The sequence below is a fragment of the Homo sapiens genome, chromosome 3 (assembly GCF_000001405.40).
Source record: "Homo sapiens chromosome 3, GRCh38.p14 Primary Assembly".
In the NCBI taxonomy this organism is placed as follows: domain Eukaryota; kingdom Metazoa; phylum Chordata; class Mammalia; order Primates; family Hominidae; genus Homo; species Homo sapiens.
This window is the reverse complement of record NC_000003.12, coordinates 974,896-1,002,112: the sequence shown is the minus strand read 5'-3', so window position 1 is coordinate 1,002,112 and position 27,217 is coordinate 974,896. Positions and strand designations below refer to the sequence as shown.

The 27,217-nt window shown below is 37.9% G+C and overlaps 1 long non-coding RNA gene across 2 annotated transcripts in view; it reads right to left on the bottom strand.

Moving 5' to 3' along the window:
- LOC107986059 (uncharacterized) overlaps positions 1 to 27,217 on the bottom strand; it is a 125,190-nt gene that overhangs the window by 1,407 nt on the left and 96,566 nt on the right. Inside the window, exon 5 of one of the 2 annotated variants that reach the window (XR_001740585.2) lies at positions 23,908 to 24,092. The exons of the other annotated variant lie outside the window; for it this stretch is intronic. This is a non-coding gene — a long non-coding RNA (uncharacterized LOC107986059). Of the gene's footprint in view, positions 1 to 23,907; positions 24,093 to 27,217 lie in introns of those variants that run through there. 2 annotated transcript variants of the gene reach the window in all.

The window sequence follows — 27,217 nt, the reverse complement described above, 5'->3', positions numbered from 1 at the left end:
TGAGCATATTTCTATAAAACCTACAAATATCAATATGAACATAAAATAAAATCATGAGGAAATATATCCCAAAAATTGGAAACGTTAGATAAAATAAAAAAGTTTAGTAACTTAGTAAGTACAAAAAAGAAAAGGAATGGCTTCTTATGAGAAAAACACCAGACTCGTTCTTTCATTGAAGAATCCATTAAACATTAAATAAAGAATTTATACCAATCTTACACAAACTATTTTAGAAAACAGAAGAGGAAACTCTTTCCAACAAATGCTGTGAGGCTGGAAGTTCCCTGATATTAAAAGCTGATTATTACACATTGCCTACATGTACTACCACACATACCATCAAAATATGTACTAGTATGACATATCAATAAAAGAAAAAAATATGATTACTATTCAGTATCCCATATGAACACAAACATTTTCAATGCGATATTAGGAAATTAAATTCAATAAAATACAAAGGGAAAATGCGTCTTGACTGAAGGGGTGCTTATTAAAGGAATACAAATTTGGTTCAATATGTTTTTAAAAAATCAACCAATAAAATCTATTAAATCTCAGGGACAAAGGATACACATTTTATGATTATCTTAATAGATGCAGAAAAAGCAGTTAGAAAGTCAACACCAATTTATGATGAAAATTCCTAGCAAACTATGAAGAAAAGTAAACATCTTCAGCCTGATAAAGTACATATTTCAAAGAATTACAGCTGACATGACATGATGATTGAAGACTGAGTGCTTTTTTTCTTAATATGAGAAAACTAGATAAAAAATATTTGTTCTCACTAATTTTATACTATATGGTACTACAGATCATATTCAGTGCAATAAGCCAAAAAGGCAAATAAATTAATAGAGATAAAAAAAGAACTGCTAAAACTCTTTAGTCTGAGATTATGTGATATTCCACATTATAAAATCTTGACATAGGTACAAAAATTTCTTGCTGGAACTAAGAAATAAACTTGGCGAGTCATAGGATGCATGGTAAATATATAAATATTAACTGTATTTTTATATGCTAGCACTAACATAATTGAAAAAAATAAATTTTTAAAATACCACTTACCATAATATAAAATATAAAATAATCATAAATCAGTTTGGCAAAAGCTATGCAATAACTGTACAGAAAAACTGGAAAACGCAGTTGAAAATTTTACAAAAATAGAACCTCAAAAACATGGGCATTTATACTATATTCATGATTCAAAAGATTCAATGTTTTTAAAATATCTATTTTCTACCAATTGACCTATAAACATGAACCAATTTAAATCAAAATCCTAGTCCAATTTCTACAAAAAAATGTAGAAATTGACAATTCAATTCCCAAATTCATATAGAAATACAAAACACTGAGAATAGCAAAATCATATCTGAAAAGGAAGAACAAACTTGAAAGATCTATCTTATCTGATCTCAAAAGATGTTATACAGCTACTGTTATCAAGACAGTAGAGAATTGACATACAGGAAAATGTAAAGTACAGCATAGCATTGGTGCAAAAAATAGATCAATGGAACAGAATCAGCAAGTCTAGGAATGACCTGCACTTTGATTTTTGACAAAGGCATCAAAATAATTAACAATGAAATGGCAATCTTTTCGATATGTGTTCTAGAACAACTGTATTATGCCATCTGTGAAAATAAAAAAACCTTGACACCCCACCCCCACCCCCGCCCCGCGTGCTAGCTGCAACAGATTACCACAAACTGGTGGTCTAAAATGGCAAAAAGTTATGTTCTCACAGTTCCAGGGGCCTAAAATCTGAAATCAAGGTGTTGGTAGATTTCGTTCTTTTGGAGGCTCTGAAGGAGAATCCATGCCATACTTCTTTCCCAGCTACTGGTATCTGCTTGTGAACCCTGACATTCCTTGGCTTGAAAAGGCATAATTCCAATTTCTGTCTCAGCCTTCACATGACCTTCGCCTGTGTCCGTGTCTCAAATCACCATCTCTATTTTCTTATAGTGACCCCAGTCATTGGATTTAGAGCCCACCCTAAATCTAAGATCATCTAATCACAGGATCCTTAATTATATCTACAAAGACCCTATTCCAAATAATGTCACATTCACAGGTACTGGGGATAGGACTTTTTGAGGCCACAATTCAATTCACTACAACCCCTACTAACATCATGCGTGAAAAGTAATTTGAAATGAATTATAGATATAAGCATAAAAGGTAAAATTATAAAAATTCCAGAGACAGAAATATAAGAAAATATTGTTATGAGTTTTCAAAGATAGTACACACAAAAGCTTGAAACATTAAAAAAAAAAAAAAAAAACTGGCCTCCAAGAGAATGAAAGTCTTCTAATCTCAAAGGACACCAAGAAATTCTAAAGTCATCCCCCATACTAAAAAGAAATATTTGTAACATTTCTGACAAAATATTTATTTGTATCTGAATTATTTAATGGCCTTTTGTAACTAATATAAACATGAAAACAAACACATGGAAAGACACTCAATATCAGCAATCATCAAGAAAATTCAAATTAAAACTACAATAAGATATGATTTCACACTCAGTAGAATGTGGGAGTGGAGTCAACTGGTAATAGTTGATGACTGCCTGGAGCAGACTAACTGCAGCTCTCACACATTGCTGAGGGGTTCATAAAATGGTGGAAGGTCTTTGATAAACAGTTTGGCAGTTTCTTAAACACGCATCACTTATAGGATTCAGAAATTTCACACCTAAGAATTTACCCAAGACAAATGAAAACACATGTCCATTTAAAGACTTATACACAGAGGTTCAACAGTAGCTTTATTCATAATAGCTCCACACCAGAAATTACATATTCATACTACTCAACTATGAAAAGGAACAAACAGTTGCTATACATACAGAAGGAAAAAACCTCACAGACTTTATATAATGTGAGTGAAGTTGGACACAGAGGAGAGTCTGAGCTAGAAAAGGAACCATTGGAAAAGATGGGAAACATCAAACTGTTTTTGACTCTAATACACACAACTCACAGCTCAACACAGAATAGTTCACTTCTGCTCACCAAAATGTGTATGGATTTCTCCCCACTAACAACTAACTCTCTAGTGGACACTAAGTGTCCAATAATTCATTTCAATTCTACCACTATCATGTCAGAACTGAAGTAACTTTATGAAGTCAGAGTCAGATCCCATGGGTTAAGGGCTTAGTCCCACAAGATTCCCTCTCTTCAGACACCAATCACATGTACAATCTGCCCTCAGAATCTGAGTGTTCCATATTCTTGGATAAATAACTGAGGATCAAAAAATACAGAATTAGAGGGATGCAAGGGGCTGACGTTTTGTTTCTGGGAATTTTGCAGGGCCAATTGTGGGCTTTATCATCTGTGGATTTTGGTATGCACAAGGCATCTTGGAAGACATCAAGGGACTATTGTAATGGTCTGTCACCCATTCTTCTGACTGTCTACAGATCGCAGGTCCAGTGAATTTTCTCCTTCCTTGGTGTCTGTGAATTTGCTAGGATGGCTCACAGAACTCAGGGAAACACTTACATTTATCCATTTTTTACAAAGTGTATTAGAAAAGATACAAATGAACAGCCAGATGGAAGAGATACATAGGGTGAGGTATAGGAAAGGAGCTGAAGATTCCATACCCTCTCCTGGTGCACCACCCCCCAGGAGCCTCTGCATGTTCAGCAACCTGAAAGCTCTCCACACTCTTGTCTTTTTGGACATTTATGAAGACTTTATCATGTAGACATAATTGATTACATCCCTGGCCATAGGTGATGAACTCAACCGATCTTCAGCCTCTCTCTCCTTCACGGAGGTTGCGGGGTAGGCCTGAAAGTCTCAACTCTCTAATCATGCCTCCGTCTTTCTGGTGAACAGCCCCCATCCTGAAGCTATCTCAGGAACCCTGGCCAACAGTCAGCTCATTGGCATACAAAAGACACTCTCTAAGGGTTTTCGAAGCAGTGTGTCAGGAAGCAAGAGCAGAGACCAAATATAACTTACTTATTATATCACAATATCACAAGAGTCTATATTGTATAATCCTATTTATATTGAGTTCTCAACAGGCATAAGTAAGCTACATTGGTGGAATATTGATCAGTTTTGTTTGGATCTTGGTGTATATTGACTGAAATGGAACCCTAGGGAACTTTTTATGAAGTTGGAAATGTTCCATATTTTAATATAGGTTATATAGGTGTATACATCTATAGAATTGCTTACTGCCCAACCATATACAGAAATAAGTTCTTAGATGATATATATCATGGTTGTGCATGTGTGCTGTGAGAATCTTTACCCTTAAATAAAATAAAGAAAAATATAGTTTTTGATAATTAAAAATTAAAAGGCCTAATTATTTATGTTAGTAGATTTACTTAGAAACTTTTACCAATAATTTTTTTCAACTTTATCTAAGACTGCAATATATGGTTTTTGTTAAGTAGGGTAGTGATGGTTATTTTAATTAATGTGTTTCATAGCTTATATATATCTTATGTATTATATATGTGAATACATATAAATACATATTTGAATATATATCATTTTCTCTGTAATAAATATTTCTTAATGAATTAATTTAAGTTTTTTTAAAAAGAGTAGAACCAGGATGTACATAACCAAAAACCTTATTTTTCATTTAATGATGTTACTGAGTACCTTGTGTTGTTGTTCCAGTCTACATATTTTGTGCATGTATATTGCCATGACAATCTCAAAACAATATTTTAATAATATGTAAAGATGCTACGCTACATTTATCTATACAAATTAATTATTGAAGACAATACTGTCTAAAAGCATAGAATCACTTAAGCCACTGCACTTACTTTTTTTAAAAAAATCAGATTTCAACTTTCTGTCTCTAAAGGTAGATCATGTGACTACTAATACCCACGGATGCTGAAATCGGAATATGTTATGAGTTTTCTTTACGATTATTTTGTTCAATGAAAGAATTAGCAAGGAGTTTAACTTGATCCTGGAAAGGAATGTGCAGCAATATTTATTAAAAAAGAAAATCAAAATGGAATTTATTTCATTGCCAATGGTTAGGCTTCCCATTAGCCTCTCACTTTTACAAATTTTTGAAAAAATAAAATAACGATTAGCATTACGAAATATTCTTTTGTTTCATCAAAAATTACAATGATTTATGCAACTTTTGCTTCATATCTGGGTAGTGATAATCATGCACTATATATTTTACTAATAAAATATATCACATATGAACCAAATGAAACCTATGTCACTATAAAATTCTTAAATATTCAGTTAAAATGGAATGGCTTCCTTTGACAGGCAACCTTATATGGGATTCTTCTGAATGTGTCCTTTGAAAAATATGTCCTGCTGGTATTTACATCTCCTTTCAATCTGTGAGATCTCTCTTTTAATACACATCACAGCACGTAATGCCATGCACCTGTCGCTTTTTCCTATTTCCTTTTTGTAAATTTAACTCCATAAACCGATTAATGTCTGTGTCTGACATGGAGTCATTTGTAGGGGATGATGGGGGGGTAACATAAAGCATCTGGTTAGTTGCCAATTTAAAATTATGATAAAAATTGGCTGGGCATGGTGGTTCACACCTGTAATCCCAGCACTGTGTGAAGCCAAGATGGGTGGATTGCTTGAGTCCAGGAGTTCTAGACCAGCTTAGGCAACATGGAGAAATCCCAATCTCTACCAAAAAAAAAAAAAAAAAAAAAAAAAACAACAAGCAAACAACCAAAAAACCTATGATAAAAATACTCGGTTTAGGTGCATATAGTAACAAGAGAAAAGGCAGGAATAAAATATGCACACTAGTACTCAGATTTCAAGGGCTCTAAATGAAATATCTCCAATTCCAAAGTGGTATCAAGAATGTGAATCGCTTTTAGAGACGTCATTTAAAGAAAAGCACCACTCACAATAATATTGTTTTGCAGGTTACAAACTATGGTCCCTCACATCTGGAAGGCATGACAACCCTTGAAACTCCCATGTCATGGGGACTTTGGACAGTGTGATTACATTACTAATTTTTCTAGATAATTTGACCATCTTTTTAGGCAGTGTCTTGCCTTACTAGGCTGCATTCTTGGTACTCCATCCAGGGCCTGAGAAACAATATATTCAGACCACATGGTTTTATAGATGAAGGAATAAGCAACCAATTTTTACAAGATGAAATATATATTCACATATTCCTTTCATGAAGTCCCTCTGATTTTTTCTTATTTCAGGATTAGTGTTATAATTGTGTGTTGATAAAAATAATTTAGATGCTCAGTCATCTGCCACAAAAACTGTCTTTGAAGATGCTTTTGCAAATTCTATGAAAATAATAAAAAAACTCTATAAAAACAATGTTAGTATGTTAACAACTCGGTGTTACCGGTTTCTTTACCTTGGGCTTTTATCCCCAAGACTGCAGACTTGAAGAATTTTCTTGGAATGTTATTATATACGTGTGTGTGTGTGTGTGTGTGTGTGTGTGCGTGCGTGCGTGTGTATCACTAGTGTCATCTATTGGTAAAACTGAAAAATACAAGGTGTCTTAGATTTGGATGTCTTTAAAAAAATCTGTTTACCATTCTTAGGTCCATTGAAGAAGCATCTGTAGAATATTGAGGCTAGTAGAACTGTTTTGTATTTCATTTTATCATTTTTTCTCACTAAAAAAGTGGGCTTTTTGTATCCCAGTTGAGGAACTGTAAAACTATTTTGTAAAATAAGAAATGTGATTGTTTTAGATAAGTAGATATGAATATTTATATATGAGTAATAAGAATGTCACTCCAGAAGAATATAATAATAATACCTATATCTTATTCTATTCCTGCTGCTGTAACAAAATACTTTAGACAGGGTAGTTTATAAGCAAAGAAAATTATGTCTCCAGTTCTAGACCCTGGGAAGTCTAATATCAAGATGCCAATATTTTCCATATTTGATGAAGGCTCACTTTCTGCTTCCAAGGTGGCACTTGGTTGCATCTCATCAGATGGTGGAAGGCAGATGGGCAAAAGAGGATGAATCTTGTAAAAACATGGCAGAGGAGATGGAAGGGACAGGCAGTTCTATGAAGCCTCTTTTAGAAGCGTATTTAAACACTCAGGATGGTGGTTCATGACTGTAATCCCAGCATTTTTGAAGGGCAAGGTTGGAGAATCACTTGAGACCAGGAGATTGAAACCAGCCTGGGTAACACAGGGAGACCCCAACCCTAAAAAAAAAAAATAAAAAATAGCTACTTAGGAGGCTGAGGTGGGAGGATCATTTGAGCTCACGAATTTCAGGTTACAGTGAACAACGATTGCACCATTGCATCTCAGCCTGCTGGGTGACAGAGTGAGATGTGAGACTCTCTCTATATCTATCTATCCGTCTGTCTGTCTGTCTGTCTGTCTGTCTGTCTATCTATCTATCTATCTATCTATCTATCTATCTATCTATCTGTCTGTCTGGAGATAGAGAGAGAGAGAGAGAGAGAGAGAGAGAGACTCCCACAGCCAGCTCCTTCTAGCTTTGTTTACTCCTTCCTATAAAAGAGGAGCCCTTTCTGCCTGCCCTTTGAGATGCTTGCAGATGTTATGGTCAGAGTATTCACTGTATTGCAATAGTCCTTCTCCTCTCTCTACAATAAGGCAGAGCCCTCATGACCTAATTACAACATGACCTAATTACCACTCAAAGGCCCCACCTCTTAATACCATCACTGTGAAGGTTAAGCTTCAACACAGGAATTTCAGAGGAACACATGTATTCTAACCATAGCAACTTTTCTCCCCTTTCTATTAGTAGCTATATTAATCCAGAAAGGCTGCTTTAAACGTGGACAAAGTACCAGAACATTATGCTTTTAATAGGAAGAAGAAAGAAGCATATTCAAAAATTTATTTTTGAGTATTAATTACCAGTCCCTCAAACAGTCTTCATCTAATCACTCCCCTCATTCTTAAAACCTATAAATGAGTGAAATGGGAGTGATCTAAAAATAAAAGAAGCAAGTGAGATCTGTGGGGAAACAGCCAATGCCTCTTCAAAAAGAGCTAGTACAAGAGTGGAAGCCAAGGACCTCCAACCAAAACTGGCCCCTTCCAATGTGCCAAGGGGTTTCCATCTTTCCCATTCAAAATTATCTCTAACCAGTATTATTGGTAACTACTGAAGATTTTGTTCAAAATGCAGAATTCTAATTCCCACAGAAACTTAAAAATCAGATTCTACATTTTAACAAAATTTCCAGGTAATTTATAAGAACATTAATGTTTGGAAATCATGGATCACATCACTTACCTTGTTTGAGTCACACAATGCTATGAGGTACATATTTTTATCCCCATTTTGCAGATTAAGAAATAGATTTCTAGACGTTTTTGTTTTTTGCTTTTTCACATGTCTTAAATATAGCAAGAAAGTTTCCAGCAATGAAAAGTTTGTATTAATGTACTTATCAGAAATAACATTTTCTAGGACTTTTTGCTTGCTAAACCAGTCACTTCTTAATTGAGTTTTTATCATTTCTGTGTAGAAGTTATTTTTTTACTGGACAGAAAAAGGCATTTTTATTCATCTGCATTCCTAGCCCCATGCTTGTCATGTCAACATTTTTTAACAATTTAAGAGTATGTATGTGTGTAATTGTATTAATATTCTCTGTGGCTTTGGGCAAATTTCTCAACTTCTGTTAGTTTCAGAGTCATTATACATAAATAATAATCTGGCAGTGGAATAGGAATTGCAGTTTTAAAGGACCTACAGCCCTTTTTGAGAACAAATATTTCATAATGCCACCTTTATTTTCCTGAAATTACATTTACAGCCATGTTGTCTAGCTCTACACATAATCTAGGGAAGTGGAAAACTGATATAAGGCCTTAAATTAATATAACGGAGAAACAAAAGGAAGTCAATTAAAAATGAAATATTCTCCAACTGCTTTAGTACACTAAAAGATAAAACACAGTCGTCACCTGTTTGCATTGGTTCTTCCAGAATTATCACGAATTTGGTAACCACAAATGCAGATGATACAAGTGGTTGTACTGACTGCTCATATACCACAAGCACTGCGACCATTAGGAATGCGACTTCCCCAAACGGCAAACAAACCTTACTGTGATCTTGTGGAAGGAAAATGAAATCATCCTTTGATTTACTGAGTTTATACAATTTAATCAATCTGGGAAAAGTATCTGCTGACTTGTCTGGACCAAAATTTTGTTAGGGTTTTCCCACTCCACAGACACCTGGAGTTTGACTCTCCCTTGACTTTAACCAAGCATCAGAATATAGAAGAGCTCATCCTTTAAGGCCCCTCTCAAGAGTCCACTGACACCTAGGAGAAACATTCCCCAATCAGTTGTTCTACCACACCATCTGGTCTTCACACTCCCACAGACAGCTCCTTCTAGCTTTGTTTACTCCTTCCTGTAAAAGAGGAGCCCTTTCTGCCTGTCCTTTGAGATGTTTGCAGATCTTATGGTCAGAGTATTCTCTGTATTGCAATAGTCCTTTTCCTCTCACTATAAAAGTCTTTCCGAACAAAATATCTCCTTACCTAAGTCTGGATTTGTTCCTTTTTATTTAACAGACTTCTAGAAATTCAGAAAGATATGTGATGGGCAAAGACATTCCTCCTTGAAAGGACTATACATTGTGGTCATCGTTTAAAGGCTCCATTTGATATTGTTAAAGACAGACTTCGTAACTGAATTTTAATGAATTTTCAGGAAAAAGGGAGTAAAATGTAATAAGCCACAGTTCCTATTTGAAAGCTTAGTACCTGGGGCTAGAGTTTAGTTGGCAGGTCTGAGTGCAAAATACTTTGTGTTTAAAAGTAAAGCAGAATTATGTATAAGGCTCGGGTGATTGTGAACAGATTTTTGAAAGTTGTGGGAGATATGAAAGCTTTCTTCAGGTATAAGGCTTTTCCATGCATTGAGATATATAGCAAACCTAGCCCCTGGCCACCAAATGCCTTTTAGTGCTCCCATTTATTATAATAACTAACACATGTCACAAAATGCCAAGTGCAACGGTAGATGATCTTACTGCCTCCAGTGAAAACCACTGCACGAAAAGACATTAGCCCTTTCAGTTTAAAAAATTCCAGGTTTCTAAATCATCATAGAGCAAAGAACTAGGAACTAAGAGTTCTTAGTCTGAACCAACAAATCCCTGAATTATAGAAATATGTGCATGTATATATACATGTGTGTTTATATATATAAAAGCACACATGTGTTTATACCTCACTTCATTCCGAAAAGATTTAAGAATATAACATGATTATATTTATTTAACCTTTGATATATTTCCAAGGCTGACAGATAAACAGGTCAACACAACCACCTTTTTAAAGTAGGAAATTTGATCACTTCAAAGTATATATCTAATTTGTATAAATTTACACTGTTTTAAATGTTTTATGGGTGCATATAATTTAGGGAATTTTTAGTAATTAAACCTATGGGAGAATGTTTGATTTTTTCCTCCCTTCCATTCATTCAGTCTATAACTGGATGTGTATGCAGAGGATATAGTGCTAAATAAGCTGGGAAATAATCGTGAAGCTCAAACGTTATTGGAGAATGAAAGATAAATAAAGCCACAAATGTAAAGAAAAAATAAAACTATCAAATAAATACATAAAGGCACAATAAATGTTGAGGAGAGAATTGAAATTGAACCATGATGGAGAACAATCTGGTCACTACTTCAGACTGAGTGGTTAAAAGAATCACTCCTAGTGATAGAACACGTGAGGTGAATCCTGAATATCAGGAAAGAAAGAGATATGTGGAGATCATAAAGAAAAGCTTTTGGGCCTGAGGAACAGCCTGTGCAACGGCCCTGGTGCTAAACAGGCATGAAGAACAGAAAGAACTATGGTGTGACTAGAACTCTGTGGGCAAGGCGTGGAGGTTACAAGAAGCAGCCAGAGAAGTAGGCATCATTCTGATTGTAGATTCCTTAAAAATCACACATTTGTAATAACTTTAGTAACCTAGCATCCTATATTATTCGTGAAAACTCTGAAAGTAAGTAGTCTGGCTCATCCATCCATTCATTCATCCATCCATGCATCCATCCATCCACTCATCCATCCATTCATGCATTCATTCATTCATCCATTTGTGCATCCATGCATCCATCCATCCATCCACCCATCCATCCATCCATTCATGCATTCATTCATTCATCCATTTGTGCATCTATGCATCCATCCATCCATCCATCCATCCATCCAACCATCCATCCATCCATTCATCCACCCATCCACCCATCCATGCATTCATTCATCCATTTGTGCATCCATCCATCCATGCATCCATCTATTCATTCATGCATCTATCCATTCATTCATGCATCCATGAACCCATCCATCCATCCATCCATCCATCCATCCATCCATCCATCCATTCATTCATCCATTCATCCATCCATGCATTCGTTCATCCATTTGTGCATCCATCCATTCATCCATCCATCCATCCATCCATCCATCCATCCATCCATCCATCCATTCATTCGTGCATCCATTCATCCATCCATGCATGCACCCATCTATTTGCTGGCAAAAATTTATCACATACAATGTTCTGTTTTTAAAAAACTTCTGTGCATAATATTAAATAAATTCCTAGTCACTGGTCATAAGGAGCTTATATTATGATGATAAACAGCTTATTTTGTAATCAATAGAAATCCAGGACCCCCACTTCTCTCACTTTTGTTGTTCTAAGTTCTAATGCACAACCTGCTGGAAGTTTCACTCAGTTGAGTTGTCATCCTCCTTGCAGTCACAAAGTAATGACTTTCGGTGGTGTCTAACAACAGTCAAGACTCTTATCTCCAGATAAGTCACTACATAAAGCCTGTGACTGCTGCATCAAACTAGACTAATGTGCCTCTCTTCTTTTATGAGAACACATGCCTTCAGTTATAGCTTTAGACAGATACGCTGGTGGTAGCGATAAATAGATGTATTACATTGTCTGCCTAAGTGTACAGGTGCACAAATAGATAAATTCAATAGGGAGAAAGGCAAGCCTTGGGATATCAGCACCTCATCCTTGGGAAAGTTGATTGCTAGTGCCTCCACAGAAGGAACCTATTTACTTGTAACAAGGACCATGCCAGGCTAATTTGACAACTTCTGAAGTCAATATTTTACAACCATAAGGAAGGAAGAAATTACTTAACCTCAAGTCCTTGTAAAACAAGGGAAGCTTGTGATGTGACATTTTCCCCTCAATAACTTTATGTTTTAGTCCCCCTAAGGGCACAATTATGTTTTTGTTGTTATTGCTGTTATTGTTGAGATGGAGTCTCCCTCTGTTGCCCAGGCTGCACTGCACTGGCACAATCTCGACTTGCTGCAACCTCTGCCTCCTGGATTCAAGCAATTCTCCTCTCTCGGCTTCCCAAGTAGCTGGGATTAAAGGTGTACACCACCACTGTTGGCTAATTTTTGTGTTTTTAGTAGAGATGGGGTTTCAACATGTTGGCCAGGCTGGTCTCAAACTCCTGACCTCAGGCGATCTGCACACTTCGGTCTCTCAAAGTGCTAGGATTACCAGTGTGAGCCACTGCACCCAGCCAATGGCACAACTATTAACTAGACATGATGGCTGTATTATTTAGATTTGATTTTAAGAAAGAAAACATAGTGGGAAAAAAACTACACAGCATGCTCATTACAAGGTCAATTTGTATGTTTCCTAAATGCAATTTCTGGTTTATCTGACCTCTATTTTGTTTCTTCCTATATTTTCCAGAGAAAAGGTGAGGACTTGGCTTACTATCTTTACTGTGATGAACCTGCTGTAGAGAAAAAGTTAAAATGTTTGTAGCTGAGGAATAGAGAAGAGATTCACTAAAGATATCTTGCAGTGCAAATAGAGAAATTTCTCATCATATTCTCTACCTCCTTGTAGAAAAAGATCAATCTCTTCCAAGTTTCACCTCTAAAATCTGCCGCTGTGTTATAAAAACACATTGAAATGATATAGTTGACTCTCCTGCTTGCAGTTAGTTCAGAAGTGGTGGTATCTAAATAATAGTACAGTTCAGGCTTCCTGTACTTAGAAACAAAACAGGATTTGGCCTTGTCCCCCTGCACTGTTCCTGAGATAAATCTTTGAAAGGGTAGGGGGAAGTATTCAAGCTGCTGTTAAAGGCAGATAAGCATTTTGGCTAGCATGAAAATTTAACAGCCTAGGGTTAGAGTTAAATGTTAAGTTGTTTGCCATCAGGTATAGAAGAAGAGGAAGAAGTGAGGCAAACTACTCCCAGAATTTGGTCAAAGTTGATACCCTATGTGCTATAGAAACAATGGGGTTGGCCAGGTATGTTCCTCTTTCCTTGATAAGAGTCATCTCTACCAGCTGTCCTTAGTGGCCAAGGATTTACTATGGGACCCGGATCTCTTGACATTAGATAATCAGATTGATATGGCCCATTGTGAGTGAGCTGGAAATGCCTGATCTCCCTTGATTTAATGTAGAGGAAGGGATGCAAAGGCTTAGGGAGATTTAGGTCTAGAATATATACCCTTGACCAATGCCTTGCAAAATAGATTTGTGAGGGCAAAACCTGCATCTTTGAAGAGCCCTGTAATTGCTCTTCTCAGTATGTCAGATCTAACAGTGGGAACCACAGTCACCCAACTATGAAATTTAAATACAATGGGAATAATTGGATCCCAAGGTGGCATGGGCCAAGTGGCAGCACTCAACTGTCAAAAGCAAGGTAGGCATAGCTACCGTAATGGACAGCAGAGGTAAAGTGGCAATCAGAACAGTTTGACTCATGTAGAGCTCTGGCACTGGCTAATTAATCATGGTGTTCTTAGAAGTTAAATTGATAGAGAGCCTACGGCATTCGTACTTAATTTATACAAGCAGAAAACTTCTAAGTCTAATTTCAATTATAAAAACAGAATCATAGCTCCTCAATTTCCAGACAAGCCAGTTTACAGACCTAGAATCCCTTGAATGAAGGGGAGGCTGGTCCCCCTTGAGGAAGGACTCCACTACATTACCAACAATTTATGCAAGGAATCTTTCTCTCATCCTTCCCCAAGGAGACCTCTGGCCTTCTACCGGGGTAACTGTGCATTGGGGAAAGGGAAATAACTAGACATTTGGGGGACTATGGGACACTGGCTCTGAGGTGACATTGATTCCAGGGGACCCAAAACGTCATTGTGGTCCTCCGGTTAAAGTAGGGGCTTAAGGAGGTCAGGTAATTAACAGTGTTTTAGCTCAGGTCTGACTTACAGTGGGTCCAATGAGTCCCCAGACTCACCCTGTGGTCATTTCCCCAGAGCCAGAATACATAACTAGCATAGACATACTTAGTAGCTGGCAGAACCCCCACATTTGTTCCCTGACTGGTAGGGTGAGGGTTACTATGAAGGAAAAGGCCAAGTGGAAGCCATTAGAACTGCTTATACCTAGAAAAATAGTAAATGAAAAACAATATCACATCCCTGGAGGGGTTGCTGACATTAGTGCCACCATCAGGACTTGAAAGATGCAGGGGTTGTAATTCCCACCACATCCCTATTCAATGCTCCCATTTAGCCTGTGCAGAAGAAAGATGGATGTTGGAGAATGACAGTGGATTATCATAAGCTTAACCAAGTGGTGACTCCAATTGCAGCTGCTGTACCAGATATGGTTTCATTGCTTGAGCAAATTAACACATATCCTGGTACCTGGTATGCAGCCATTGACTTAGTAAATGCCTTTTTCTTCATTCCTGTCCATAAACCCCAGAAGAAATTTGCCTTCAGCTGGCAAGGCCAGCAATATACTTTTATTGTCCTACCTCAGGGGTATATCAACTCTCCGGCTTTCTGTAATAATCTTATTCAGAGAGACCTTGATTGCTTTTTGCTTCTGTAAAACATCACAATGGTCCATTACATTGATAACATTATGCTGATTTGATCTAGTGAGTAAGAAGTAGTAAACACATTGGACTTATTGGTGAGATATTTGCATGCCTGAGGATGGGAAACAAATATGACTAAAATTCAAGGACTTCTACCTCAGTAAAATTTCTAGGGGTCCAGTGGTGTGGGGTCTGTTGAGATCTTCCTTCTAAGGTGAATAAGTGCTGCGTTTAGCCCCTCCCATGACCAAGAAAGAGGCACAACACCTAGTAGGTCTATTTGGATCTTGGAGGCAGCACATTCCTCATCTGGGTGGGTTACTCCAGCCCATTTATCAAGTGACCTGAGAGGCTGCCAGTTTTGAGTGGGGTCCAGAAGAGGAGAAGGCTCTGCAACAGGTCCAGGCTGCTGTGCAAGCTGCTCTGCCACTTGGGCCATATGACCCAGCAGATCCAGTGGTGCCTGAGGTGTCAGTGACAGATAGGGATGCTGTTTGGAATCTTTGGCAGGCCCCCATACATGAATTACAGCAGAGGCCTCTAGAATTTTAGAGCAAGGCATGTTCTGCAAATAACTACTCTCCTTTTGAGAGACAGCTCTTGGCCTGTTACTGGGCTTTGGTTGAAACTGAACATTTAACTATGGATCATCAAGTCACCATGCAACCTGAATTGCCTATCATGAATTGGATGCTTTCTGACCCATCTGGCCATAAAGTGGGTCACGCACAGCAGCACTGGATCATCAAACGGAAGTGGTCTATATGTGATTGGGCTCAAGCAGGCCCTGAAGGAACAAGTAAGTTACATAAGGAAGTGGTTCAAATACTCACTGTCTCCACTCCAGCCACCCTGGCTTTTCTCCCCCAGCATGCACTGATGGCCTCATGGGGAGTTCCCCATGATCAGTTGACAGAGGAAGAGAAGACTAGGGCCTGGTTCACAAATGGTTCTGACAATATGCAGGCACCACCCAAAAGTGGACAGCTGCAGCACTAAAGCCGCTTTGTAGGACACCCCTGAAGAATGATGAAGGGTAAAGGAAAATCTTCCCTATGGGCAGAACTTTGAGCAATGCAACTGGTTGTGCACTTTGAATGGAAGGAGAAATGGCCAGATGTGTAATTATATACTGATTAATGGGCTGTAGCCAATGGTTTGGCTGGATGGTCAGGGACTTGGAAGAAGCATGATTGGAAAATTGGTGAGAAAGAAATTTGGGGACGAGGTATGTGGATGGACCTCTCTGAGTGGTCAAAAACAAGATATTTGTATCTCATGTGAGTGCTCACCAATGGGTGACCTCAGCAGAAGAGGATTTAAATAATCAAGTGGATAGGATGACCTGTTCTGCAGACACGGTTCAGCCTCTTTCCCCAGCCACCCCCCTGTCATTGTCCAATGGGCCCATAAACAAAGCGGCCATGGTGGCAAGGATGGAGGTTACACGTGGGCTCAGCAACATGGACTTCCACTCACAAAGGCTGACCTGGCTATGGCCACTGCTGAGTGCCAAATTTGCCAGCAGCAGAGACCAACACTGTGCCCTTGATATGGCACCATTCCTCAGGGTAATCAGCCAGCTACCTGGTGGCAAGTTGATTATATTAGACCTCTTCCATCATGGAAAGGGCACTGGAATAGAAACTTACTCTGGATATAGGTTTGCTTATCCTGCACGTAATGCTTCTGCCAAGACTACCACCCATGGACTCACAGAATGCCTTATCCACCGTCATGGTATTCCACACAGCATTGCCTCTGACCAAGGCACTCACTTTATGGCTAAAAAAGTGTGGCAGTGGGCTCATGACCATGAAATTCACTGGTCTTACCATGTTCCCCATCATCCTGAAGCAGCTGGATTGATAGAAGTGTGGAATGGCCTTTTGAAGTCACAATTACAATGCCAACTAGGTGACAATACTTTGCAGGGCAGGGGCAAAGTTCTCCAGAAGCCCGTGTATGCTCTGAATCAGTGTCCAATATATGGTACTGTTTCTCCCATAGCCAGGATTCATGGGTCTTGGAATCAAGGGGTGGAAGTGGAAGTGGCACCACTCACCATCACCCCTGTGATCCACTAGCAAAATTTTTGCTTCCTGTTCCTGCAATATTACCTTCTGCTGGGCTAGAGGTCTTAGTTCCAGAGGGAGGAACACTTCCACCAGGATACACAACAACGATCCCAGATCCCACTAAACTGGAAGTTAGGATTGCCACCTGGACACTTTGGTCTCCTCCTACCTTTAAGTCAACAGGCTAAGAAGGGAGTTACAGTGTTGGCTGGGGCAATTGATCCAGACTATCAAGATGAAATCATCTACCACTCTACAACAGAGGTAAGGGAGAGTATGCATGGAATACAGGAGATCCATTAGGGCGTCTCTTAGTATTACCATGCCCTCTGATTAAGGTCAATGGGAAACTACAACAGCCCAATCCAGGCAGGACTACAAATGGCACACACCCTTCAGGAATAAAGGTTTGGGTCACTCCACCAGAAAACAAAACAAAACAAAACCATGACCTGCTGAGGTTCTTGCTGAAGGCAAAGGGAATATAGAATGGGCAGTAGAAGAAGGTAGTCATCAATACCAGCTATGATCCCAAGACCAGCTGCAGAAACAAGGACTGTAATTCCCTTGAGTATTTCCTCCTTCCTTTTTTTAAAAACATGTTTGTGCACATATATACTTGTACTAAGAAAATATCTTCATTTTATTTCCTTTTTCCTTTATCATGTGACATAAAATTTATTGACCTCATAGCAGCATTTAAGTATTGTTAACTTTCTGTAATAGTATTTGGGTTGGGTATTGGTGTGTTTCCAGTTGTACAAAAGATAGTTGTATTATGTTAGGTGTAATTATGACCTTATTATTGTCTTTATTTGAAGGTTATGTATGAGCTCAGGAGATGTGTGTGGGTTCAAGTTGACAATGGGTAGACTTGTGATGGTTAATACTGAGTGTAAACTTGATTGGATTGAAGGATGAAAAGGACTGATCCTGGGTGTGTCTGTGAGGATGTTGCCAAAGGATATCAACATTTGAGTCAGTAGGCTGGGAAAGGCAGACCTACCCTTGATCTGTATTGGCACAATCTAATCAGCTGCTAGTTTTACTAGAATATAAAGCATGCAGAAAAATGTGAAACTACTAGAGTGGCCTAGCCTCCCAGCCTTCATCTTTCTCCTATGCCAGATGCTTCCTGCCCTTGAACAGCAGACTTCAAGTTCTTCAGTTTTGGGACTCAGACTGGCTGTCCTTGCTCCTCAATTTGTGGATGGCCTATTGTGGGGCCTTGTGATCATGTGAGTTAATACTTAATAAACTCCTTTTACATATATATATATATATATATATATATATGTATCTGTGTGTGTGTGTATATACGAGTGTGTATGTGTATATATATATATCCTATTAGTTATGTCCTTCTAGAGAACCCTGACTAATACAGAGGTAGAGTTAAATGTTAGATTGTCTGCCATCAGTCATAGAGGAAGAGGGAGAGTTGAAGCAAACTACTCTCAGAAACTGGTCAAAGTAGATACCCTATGTACTACAGAAAGAAAGGGGTTGGCCAGGTGTGTTCCTCTTTCCTGGATAATAGTCATTTCTACCCAGCTGTCCTTAGTGGCCGAGGATTTATTACGGGAGCCAGATCCATTGGCAGCAGTTGATTGTATCAAGTATTAATTTTTAACACAGGTTGGATGAATCAGATTCTTTTTCCTAGGAATTTTGACCTGGAACAAGTTAACCTTTGCCTATGTTAGTGACTTGATTGCAGTAGAAATATTATAGAATCAAATGTAGTGATGGCCATTGACACAGAAACACAGAGCTATGCAGAGAAACAATGACAATAATGTTTAGGTTCAGAGAAGCAATGACCTCTCTGTACTCCTTGCCTTTGATTCCACTTAATTTCATTCATTATTTTAACTGAGTTTGAAAGGTTTATCTCTTTTGAAACTAAAGGATTTGAACTAAAACACTATTCCCATAGTTGAAGCCACAAACTTATCTTTTCCTCAATAGCCAACATTGCACTTTACCTGAAGAAGGTGTGCATTGGAATATTAAATAAGTAACTAAATTAGTATTCTTCAAAGTCAATAAACCAGGTTATCAAATGTCATTTAAGCACCTAGTATATACAAGGCCTCAATAGTTTGGTGGGAATAGTTCTTGACCTTGTAGATGGGTGGGCAGGGCTCTGGTAGCTGTCTTTTTCTAATACTGTCATGTCAACATAAAGGTATCTATATGGAACGAGAAGATAGTACAGCAAATGGATGAATTACAGTAGTCCTGATTTTACCTGGTACATTCAGATACATCCAGAGCTAGAAAAATATCCCAGGAGGTTTTAAGATCATAATAAACCAAGTTCTGTGAGAAGAGGCTGAAGTAAAATGATGTGATTAGCTCCACTGCTTACATCGACCTATCCTTGGAGAAATCCAATTTCAAATGGTTGGAGGAATCCATCCAAAGAAAACAGTCCAATAACATACCAGGAAATCTATAAATCTAAGATGCTAAATGTCAATCTACTGTTAGTTGAACATAAAAGCTTGGCAATTAATCTCTAGAGGCAACAGTTGCACGCATTAGAAAATGATTATGTAGAGAAGTGTTAATCAGACTTATTTAACAGATAATGCATTAGTTAAACTAAGGTGCTAATGAAAATTATCAAAGCCCTGGGCTATACTCATGTTTAGTAGCTTTCTTATTTGGGGCACAAGGTGTCTAATAAAAAATTTTAAAAGGATTTGGAATACATAGTTAGCTAGCATACCTTGATTAGAAATAGTTATTTGATTAGATAAATGACTAAAAACAACTAAATTTCTACTTTAGTACTCACAGAGTTGCATCATAGTTTGGTGACATTTCATATCACAGACTACTTCCAGACTTCTCAAACAAGTAATTATTCTTGGTTCATTAGACAATCTTCAGGCTAGCAGTCAAATTCCATATCTACCATTTACTTAACTTCTGTGAACTTGTTTTTTTATCTACAACATGAGGCGGGAAATAGTTATAATAGATCTCTCAAGGATCTGTTGAGTATCAAGTCATATGAGCTATACTAAAATTTTAGTAAATTATATAGTGTTATACGAGAGCTAGTTATCTTGTTTAACCTCCTATCCCACTCATTTCTTAATATTTTCTGTTTCTTATGAGGTTTGGTCTTTTTGCTGTTGTTGTTTTTGAGTCAGGATCTTGCTATGTTTCCTAGATGGGACCCAACCCCTGGGCTCAATCAATCTTCTAGCCTCAGCCTCCAAAGTAGGTAGAACTACAGGCATGCACCACCTGGGCAGGCCTCATTCTTTGGTCTTTGATCATCCTTATCAACATATGTCCATTACTTTCTCGTCTGGCACGTTCTCCATCCTCCTGTCAATTCACTGACTCTGCTCCTCTTCCACACCAAGTCAAGTCATTCCACATTCTGAAGTAAACACAAAGTCCTTTGACATAAAACTCATCTACAATTTTCTCAAGTTTCACATAATGCCCTCTTCCCCTTCCTTCATTTAAAAGAAATGTATTGTATGAAAGCAAAACAATATTTTTCTTTTGTTCTTCTTCATTAGATCTAAAACAAAGTTGGATTTCATTTGCTCCTTGATATGGTTTGACTCTGTGTCCCCACCCAAATCTCATCTTGAATTCCCATGTATTGTGCGAGGGACCCGGTGAGTGGTAATTGAATCACGGGTGCAGGTCTTTCCTGTGGTGTTCTCGTGAGAGTGAATAAATGTCATGAGATCTGATGGTTTTATAAGGGGGCGTTTCCCTGCACAAGCTCTCTCTTTGCCTGCTGCCCTCCGTGTAAGATGTGACTTGCTCCTCCTTGACTTCCACCATGATTATGAAGCTCCCCCAGCCATGTGGAACTGTAAGTCCATTAAACTTTTTCTTCTGTAAATTGCCCAGTCTTGGGTATGTCTTTATCAGCAGCATGAGAACAGACTAATATACTCCTCATTCTACTTGCTCATTAAAAACTGGGCACATTTTTAACTTCTCTGATCTTGTGCTTCTAAATTTGTAAAATATGTCATGGGGTTTGAAGATTATTCAGTTAGATGGTTCATATAAAATACTCTGTTCTCCATTTGAAACTGCCCCTCCCATTCATTGTCTAACTGGTCTCTGGAGATTAAGCTCTTGATATGGTTTGGGTGTGTATCCCCTCCAAATCTCATAGTAAAATGTAATCCCCAATGTTGGATGTGGGGACTGGTGGGAGGTGTTTGGGTCATGAGGGTGGATCTCATATGAATGGCTTGGTGCCATCCTTGCAGTAATGAGTGGGCTCTAACTATTAGTTCATGTGAGTTCTGGGTGTTTAAAAGAGTCTGGCACTCCACCTTGTCTCTCTTGCTCCCTCTCTTGCCATGTGATACACTGGATCCTCCTTCACCTTCCACCATGATTGTAAGCTTCCTGAGCCCTCACCAGAAGCAGACGCTGGTGCCATACTTTCTGTACAGCCTGCAGAACCATGAGACAACTAAATCTCTTTTCTTTACAGATTACCTAACCTCAGATATTCCTTCATAGCAATGCAAAAATAGACCAACAGAGCTTTACAGAGTGTATCATCTGGGCTCCCAGGGCTGGGACTTCTGTGTGGGATTGCCAGGTCATAGGGGGTCCTGACCAGAGAGAAGCCTTGCCTTACCACTCTTCTAGAAGTGGCTGTGTTCCTCCATGGCTACACTCCCTCTCAGGTACCCCATCCCCCACAATCCTCCTCTGGACTCTGATGGTAACTCCCCACATCTTCAGGCCTAAGGTTGTAATAGCTTCTCACTTTTGCTGAGCCTTGGGTACCTCACCAACCACTGATTTTTCCCTTACTTTGCCTGTCACTCTGCACAAATGTGCCTTCATTAAATTTTCTTCAGTTAAACTCTTTTCATTAAACCATTTTATTTTCTGCCAGAGTGCTAACTGATGTATAAAGCATGTAGCCAGCATTTAAGAAATACTAGATTTTTATGTGTAACAAAAGAACATATAAAATGACATAATTATCCATTTGTTATTATTAATCAGTGTTAGTGGATACTCCTCTTGGAAAACAATACAAAATTGGTAAATTTGAGTTTATTTCAGGATTTCTATGGACACAGAGCTCTGTAAAACCCCAGAAAGATCCACTACTTTAAATAGTTTGTTGAAACACGTAATAATCAGTACAAATCAAACTTGGCAATTTCTTTTCCAAAATTGAATTCATTGTTTTAAATCCTGTTTTAATTGGGGGATTTTCTTTTGTTTTGTTTTGATAAGCTGAGCTGATTTAGTGATCAGTTTTGAGGGCTTTTATTTGTTTACTTATTTTTTTCCCTGACGGAAAACAGTTTCCACTGGAAAGACCCCTCAAGCTGCATGTGGTAAATTAAAGGCAGTTTCAGATTCAACAAAAAGCAACTCAGATTTTAAAGACTGGACTATTATATTTGGATTATATTTGGAAAGCATTTCAGTGGATTGTCATCTCTTTCCTTTGTAATACTTTGTAACCTTACATGGGAATGTCATTATCTTCTTTGGAAAATCATCAGTTAAATAAGAATAATATAAACTACTCTACCCAAAGTAGGGAGCTGTTGTGAATAAGAGTTGAGTTAGAGTAGTACAAGTACTCTATTTAGTGTAAGGCAATTCAGTTACAGGCACTAACTGAGTACCCAGGAAAAGCCAGACACTGGAAGTTTCTGAGATGATAAGGAGAAGTCCGCACCATCTCTGTTGGTGCTGGGCAGGGTAGAAGTGCGGGTTGCCTTGGGGAAAAATTGAGTAAATAGTGTGCATTCATTTGCTAGAACTGCACTAACAAAGTACCACAAACTGGGTGGCTTAAACAACTGGGATTTATTGATTTACAGTTCTGCAGGCTAGAAGTTCAAGGTCAAGGTATCTGTAGGATTGGTTCCATCTAAGGGCATAAGAGAAGGATATGTGTCAGACCTCTCTCTTTGACTTGTAGATGGCCATTTTATCTCTATGTCTCATCACATTGTTTTCCCTCTGTGCATCTCTCTGCATCCAAATTTCTCAAGGTCATCAATTATATAGGAATAGGGTCCACTCTAATGACCTCACTTTAAATTAATGATCCCTGTAAAGACCTCATCTCCAAACATGGTCACATTCCGAGGTCCTGGGGGTTAGGACTTCAACATATAAATGGGAGGGTAGCACAGAATTGAACCCATGCATAATGAATTGAAATCAAGAAGGTGACATTATGTTGTGAGAGAAGACAGCATAGGGTGCTTTAAGAGCAGAAAGATGAGATATCTACCAGAAATTATTAATATTCTGTCTTAAGCCTCATTTTCTAATTTGTGTCTGTATTTAATTAGCTCTAAGTCATTTTGTGTTTTCTCAATATCCAGGGCTTTGCTGCATTAATCTGATGAATGTGCTTCTATTCATTAACCTACAAGTCATTAGATACTCTTTTCAAGTATTTCAATGGGACTGAGCCCAAGATTCAAGTCCTAGTTAAAGCACGAGCTCACTATGTGACCTTGGGTAAACCAGTTAACCACTCTGGGCCTCTTTTTCTCCCTATAAAGCCAAGGATCAGTTGCTGAGCTTACCAAGACACCTTTTAGCCCCAATATTCTGAGCTTCTAATTATGTTATGGATGCTGCCACACACTAACAGAGAACCCTTCTTTTTCAAAAAGTTCAGCTCTGCTATATTGGATAATAAATTTACCAAATTATATATTTTAAAAAGAGGCACAGTTTGTACTGAGAAGTTAATTGATTCATTTAGAGATAAAATATTAATAAGAAATTCTTAATCTTCTGGGAGGAGATATTCAATTAGAGTGTTCCTGGTTTCAACTTTCAATAAGATGGCTCTGCTTGATTGAAAAATAAAGTGAATACTTAGTCACATTAACTTAGGGCTTTCGAACACATCTACAATATTATTTGGGTACCTTAGTCAAAAGGTTTGTCTTCCAGAATGATTGAATTCTTTGCCTTGATTTTCTTCTTTGTGGAGTGTCATTTTTCTTGAAGGGGTTCACGTTATGTCATTGTGGCATAAGGATTATCTTGAACTAAAGGCATTTGAGAATCCAAACATGCAGGAAGGAGCTTTCTCTGCATTCCTGTTGTCTGCCTAAAAGCCAAGTGTTCCAAAAGGATCAACTGTCATAAATCCCCCTTTAAGGAAGTCTTCCTGTACCACGTGGAGTGACTCCTGTCCCCTTAGAGGAGAAGTGGGTACTGGGATGAGAAATTGCATAAACAGGACTTTCTCACTCAAATCTTACCTTCCATTAATTTCCCCCATATATTTCACAGTCATTTCTCACCATTTATTGTCCCTTGAAATCCTAATGCATCCCACTAGTTCAGATGCTATTCCAACCACTTCTTGGAGCTACATTTTCTGCAGGCTCTCCTGTATGTATATGAACATACTTTATCTTTTATCTTGCTAATCTGTCTTTTGTCCTTTTAATTCATAGGCCTCCAATACTGAATGTAAAAGGGTAGAGAAAAAGTTTTCCCTTCTGAATAGTCTCCAGATCAATCTGATGATTTAGGAAGTATTTGGCTAATAAATATGTTTAATCAGTTAATTTAATAGCTTGAGTGGAGATAGTTAAAAAAAATCATGCTTTTAAAAGCAGAAGAAAGCACAATCCCATTGTTTGGTGGCCAATATTTTTAAAAAGAAACCTTGTCTAGCTTAGTAAAAACAGTGTCATCAGCATCACAGTGTGCTCTTTTTGGCTAAGACTGTGAGACCTTCCTTGAAAGGATGCTGCTGGTATGGAGTTACAGTGATAACAATTCTGCATTTTCCTGGAGGAAGGGGATACTGCCTTGGGGAAGACAACCTTCTGGTGATGGTAATTCCACACATTACACGGACATATACATTAGCATCCCAGGTGGGTTCAGTGATCCAGGTATCAAAATATCCTCTCCTACTGTGAGTCACTGTAATAGCCCTAGGAATACAAGTTGTAACTCTAGGTTGTGCTACCTCACAACAAATTGAACATTTGGAGAATCAAATTCCTTAGAGACATTGAAGAAGCAGAAGGAAGTGTGACCAGCTGATGAAAACCATGCTGGATAATACGATAGCAATGTCCTTACTTAGTTCGTGGAATATTTTTGCACAATTAAGGAGCGGTACAGATGGGGCCCTGTGAGTAACCAGACATTAATATAGAAATGGGTTACTAGGGAGACAGGCTGATGAAGTGAGCTCTGATGAAGGTCACCTGGGAGGGGGTTTCTGATCCTAGTCCTTTCATTTTCCATGAACACGTGGTGAGACCCAGGAAACTTTAGTCAGGGCCAAGCAAGGAGGTATTCTGTCAAATTTGCCTTAAAACTCTTTTCTGATCTCAGCTTTTAATTTATCCATTCATTTTCCAGCTATTTATTCAGGATCTACTGTGTATCAAGCATTATGTTAGACATGGGAGATAAAGTAAATAAAATAGGACCACTTCCTATGTGTCATGCAGTTTATCATACTGTGGGGGCTTAATAGAGCCTTCCTGCAAAACGGAGTAGGCTATGGAATCGATGCAGTGATCAGAAATCTCATGATTACAGATCCTAAATACGCTAGACAAGGAGACTGAATCTCACATGGAAGTCAGGGATCTGTTAAAGGAATTTAAACACAGAAAAGACACGTCTTGCTCTGCATTTCATAAAGATCATTCCAGCAAGCCTTGTGGAAGGTTGATTCATTGACAAAGCAGAATAAAAATGTTAGCAGACAGAGCTGTTTCTCCCCATGAAAATTCAATTAATAATAGCCAATAATGGCACTTAAATCTTCTATGCCTTAATCTCCTCACACGTGAAATAGGTGAGTCGCATTAGTTTATACAATGGCAAACTTCAGCCCTAGGGCCAAATTTGGCAGGCCGCCTGTTTTTGTAAATGAGGTTTTGTTGGAATATGTCATGCTTACTCATTTTGCATTATCTATGGCTATTTTTATGGTACAATGGCAGAGTCAAGTAGTGGTGACAGAGACCGTATGGCCCATAAAGTCTAAAATACTTACTGTGTGGCCTTTACAGAAAAAAATTTGCCAACCCTGAACTGGATAATTAGTTGAGTTTCTTCCAGTCATAATATTGTTTGCGTCTAACCAAGCACTTTACTGAACATCTGCAGCCTCTCCTCACTTTCTCACATGTGCATTATTTATAAAGTAATACATACATATATGGAATGATTTAGGCTGTTTCAGATAATGAAATATATTGGTGAGCTGAGAGTTACACATGCACAAAACATGGATTATAAATTTTCAAATACGTACAAAGCTAAAATCTATTATTTTGGGGGGAAGTGAAATAAACTCATAATAAGGTACTTGAAAATAGAATAGGTAAGCTAAGAAACTGAACACAATACAAGTGATATCTCAGAGGGTGAATTACTAAATCAATTCCTGGTATCGCCTTTTCTAATTATCGTTAATTTAACTTCTAATCATGTTGGTGTTTTAACTGTTTGTATTATAGAAAATGTGATGACCAGACACATCTTCACAAGATCATTGAGGTTTAACAGAAGTGCTTAAGGTCCCATCCTCTCAGGGACTCACAGTTTATAGCTATTAATGAAAATATATCATATTTATATAACACCTTTCCTTGGAAGCACCCCTTAGATCATTTATTCTCTCAGGTTTTTATTTAAGATGTCATGGTTCATACTTATATCAAACATTACTTAGAAATATAGAGGCAAAGATAATTTTTAGCTTTGTTTTACTGATGTGGGAATTAAGGTAGAGACATTACCGTTCATTTTATATATTTATTTATTTCCTTATTTTTGTCTTTTAGTGACATAACTAGTTATGTGTAGTACACAAAGAAAGGATCACTTAGACTCGAGTCTACCTCGCAAACTAAAATTGAGAGTATATTTCTCTAGTTGATGTATAAGGCATCATATTTGAAAATTAGAAAATTAGTTTCCTTTCTGACTTTCACGAGTTTCTAAAATTCTCTGAGCCTAAATTCCATCAAGAAAAAGATGAACACAATGCCAATGCAGGTAAATCTCAGAGGTATTCCAAAGATGAGTGAGAACCTAATGGTTCTAAGTTAAAAGATTTTGAAGCTTTAGTGATTGCTAATTCCAACAGTGTCCTTGTTTTAACAAAGCTCTTCTTTTGTGACCAGCAAGTCCAAAGACTATTCTAAGCTTAGCTCAAACATTTTCTTCTTTCCTGAACCTCCACCAAGCCCT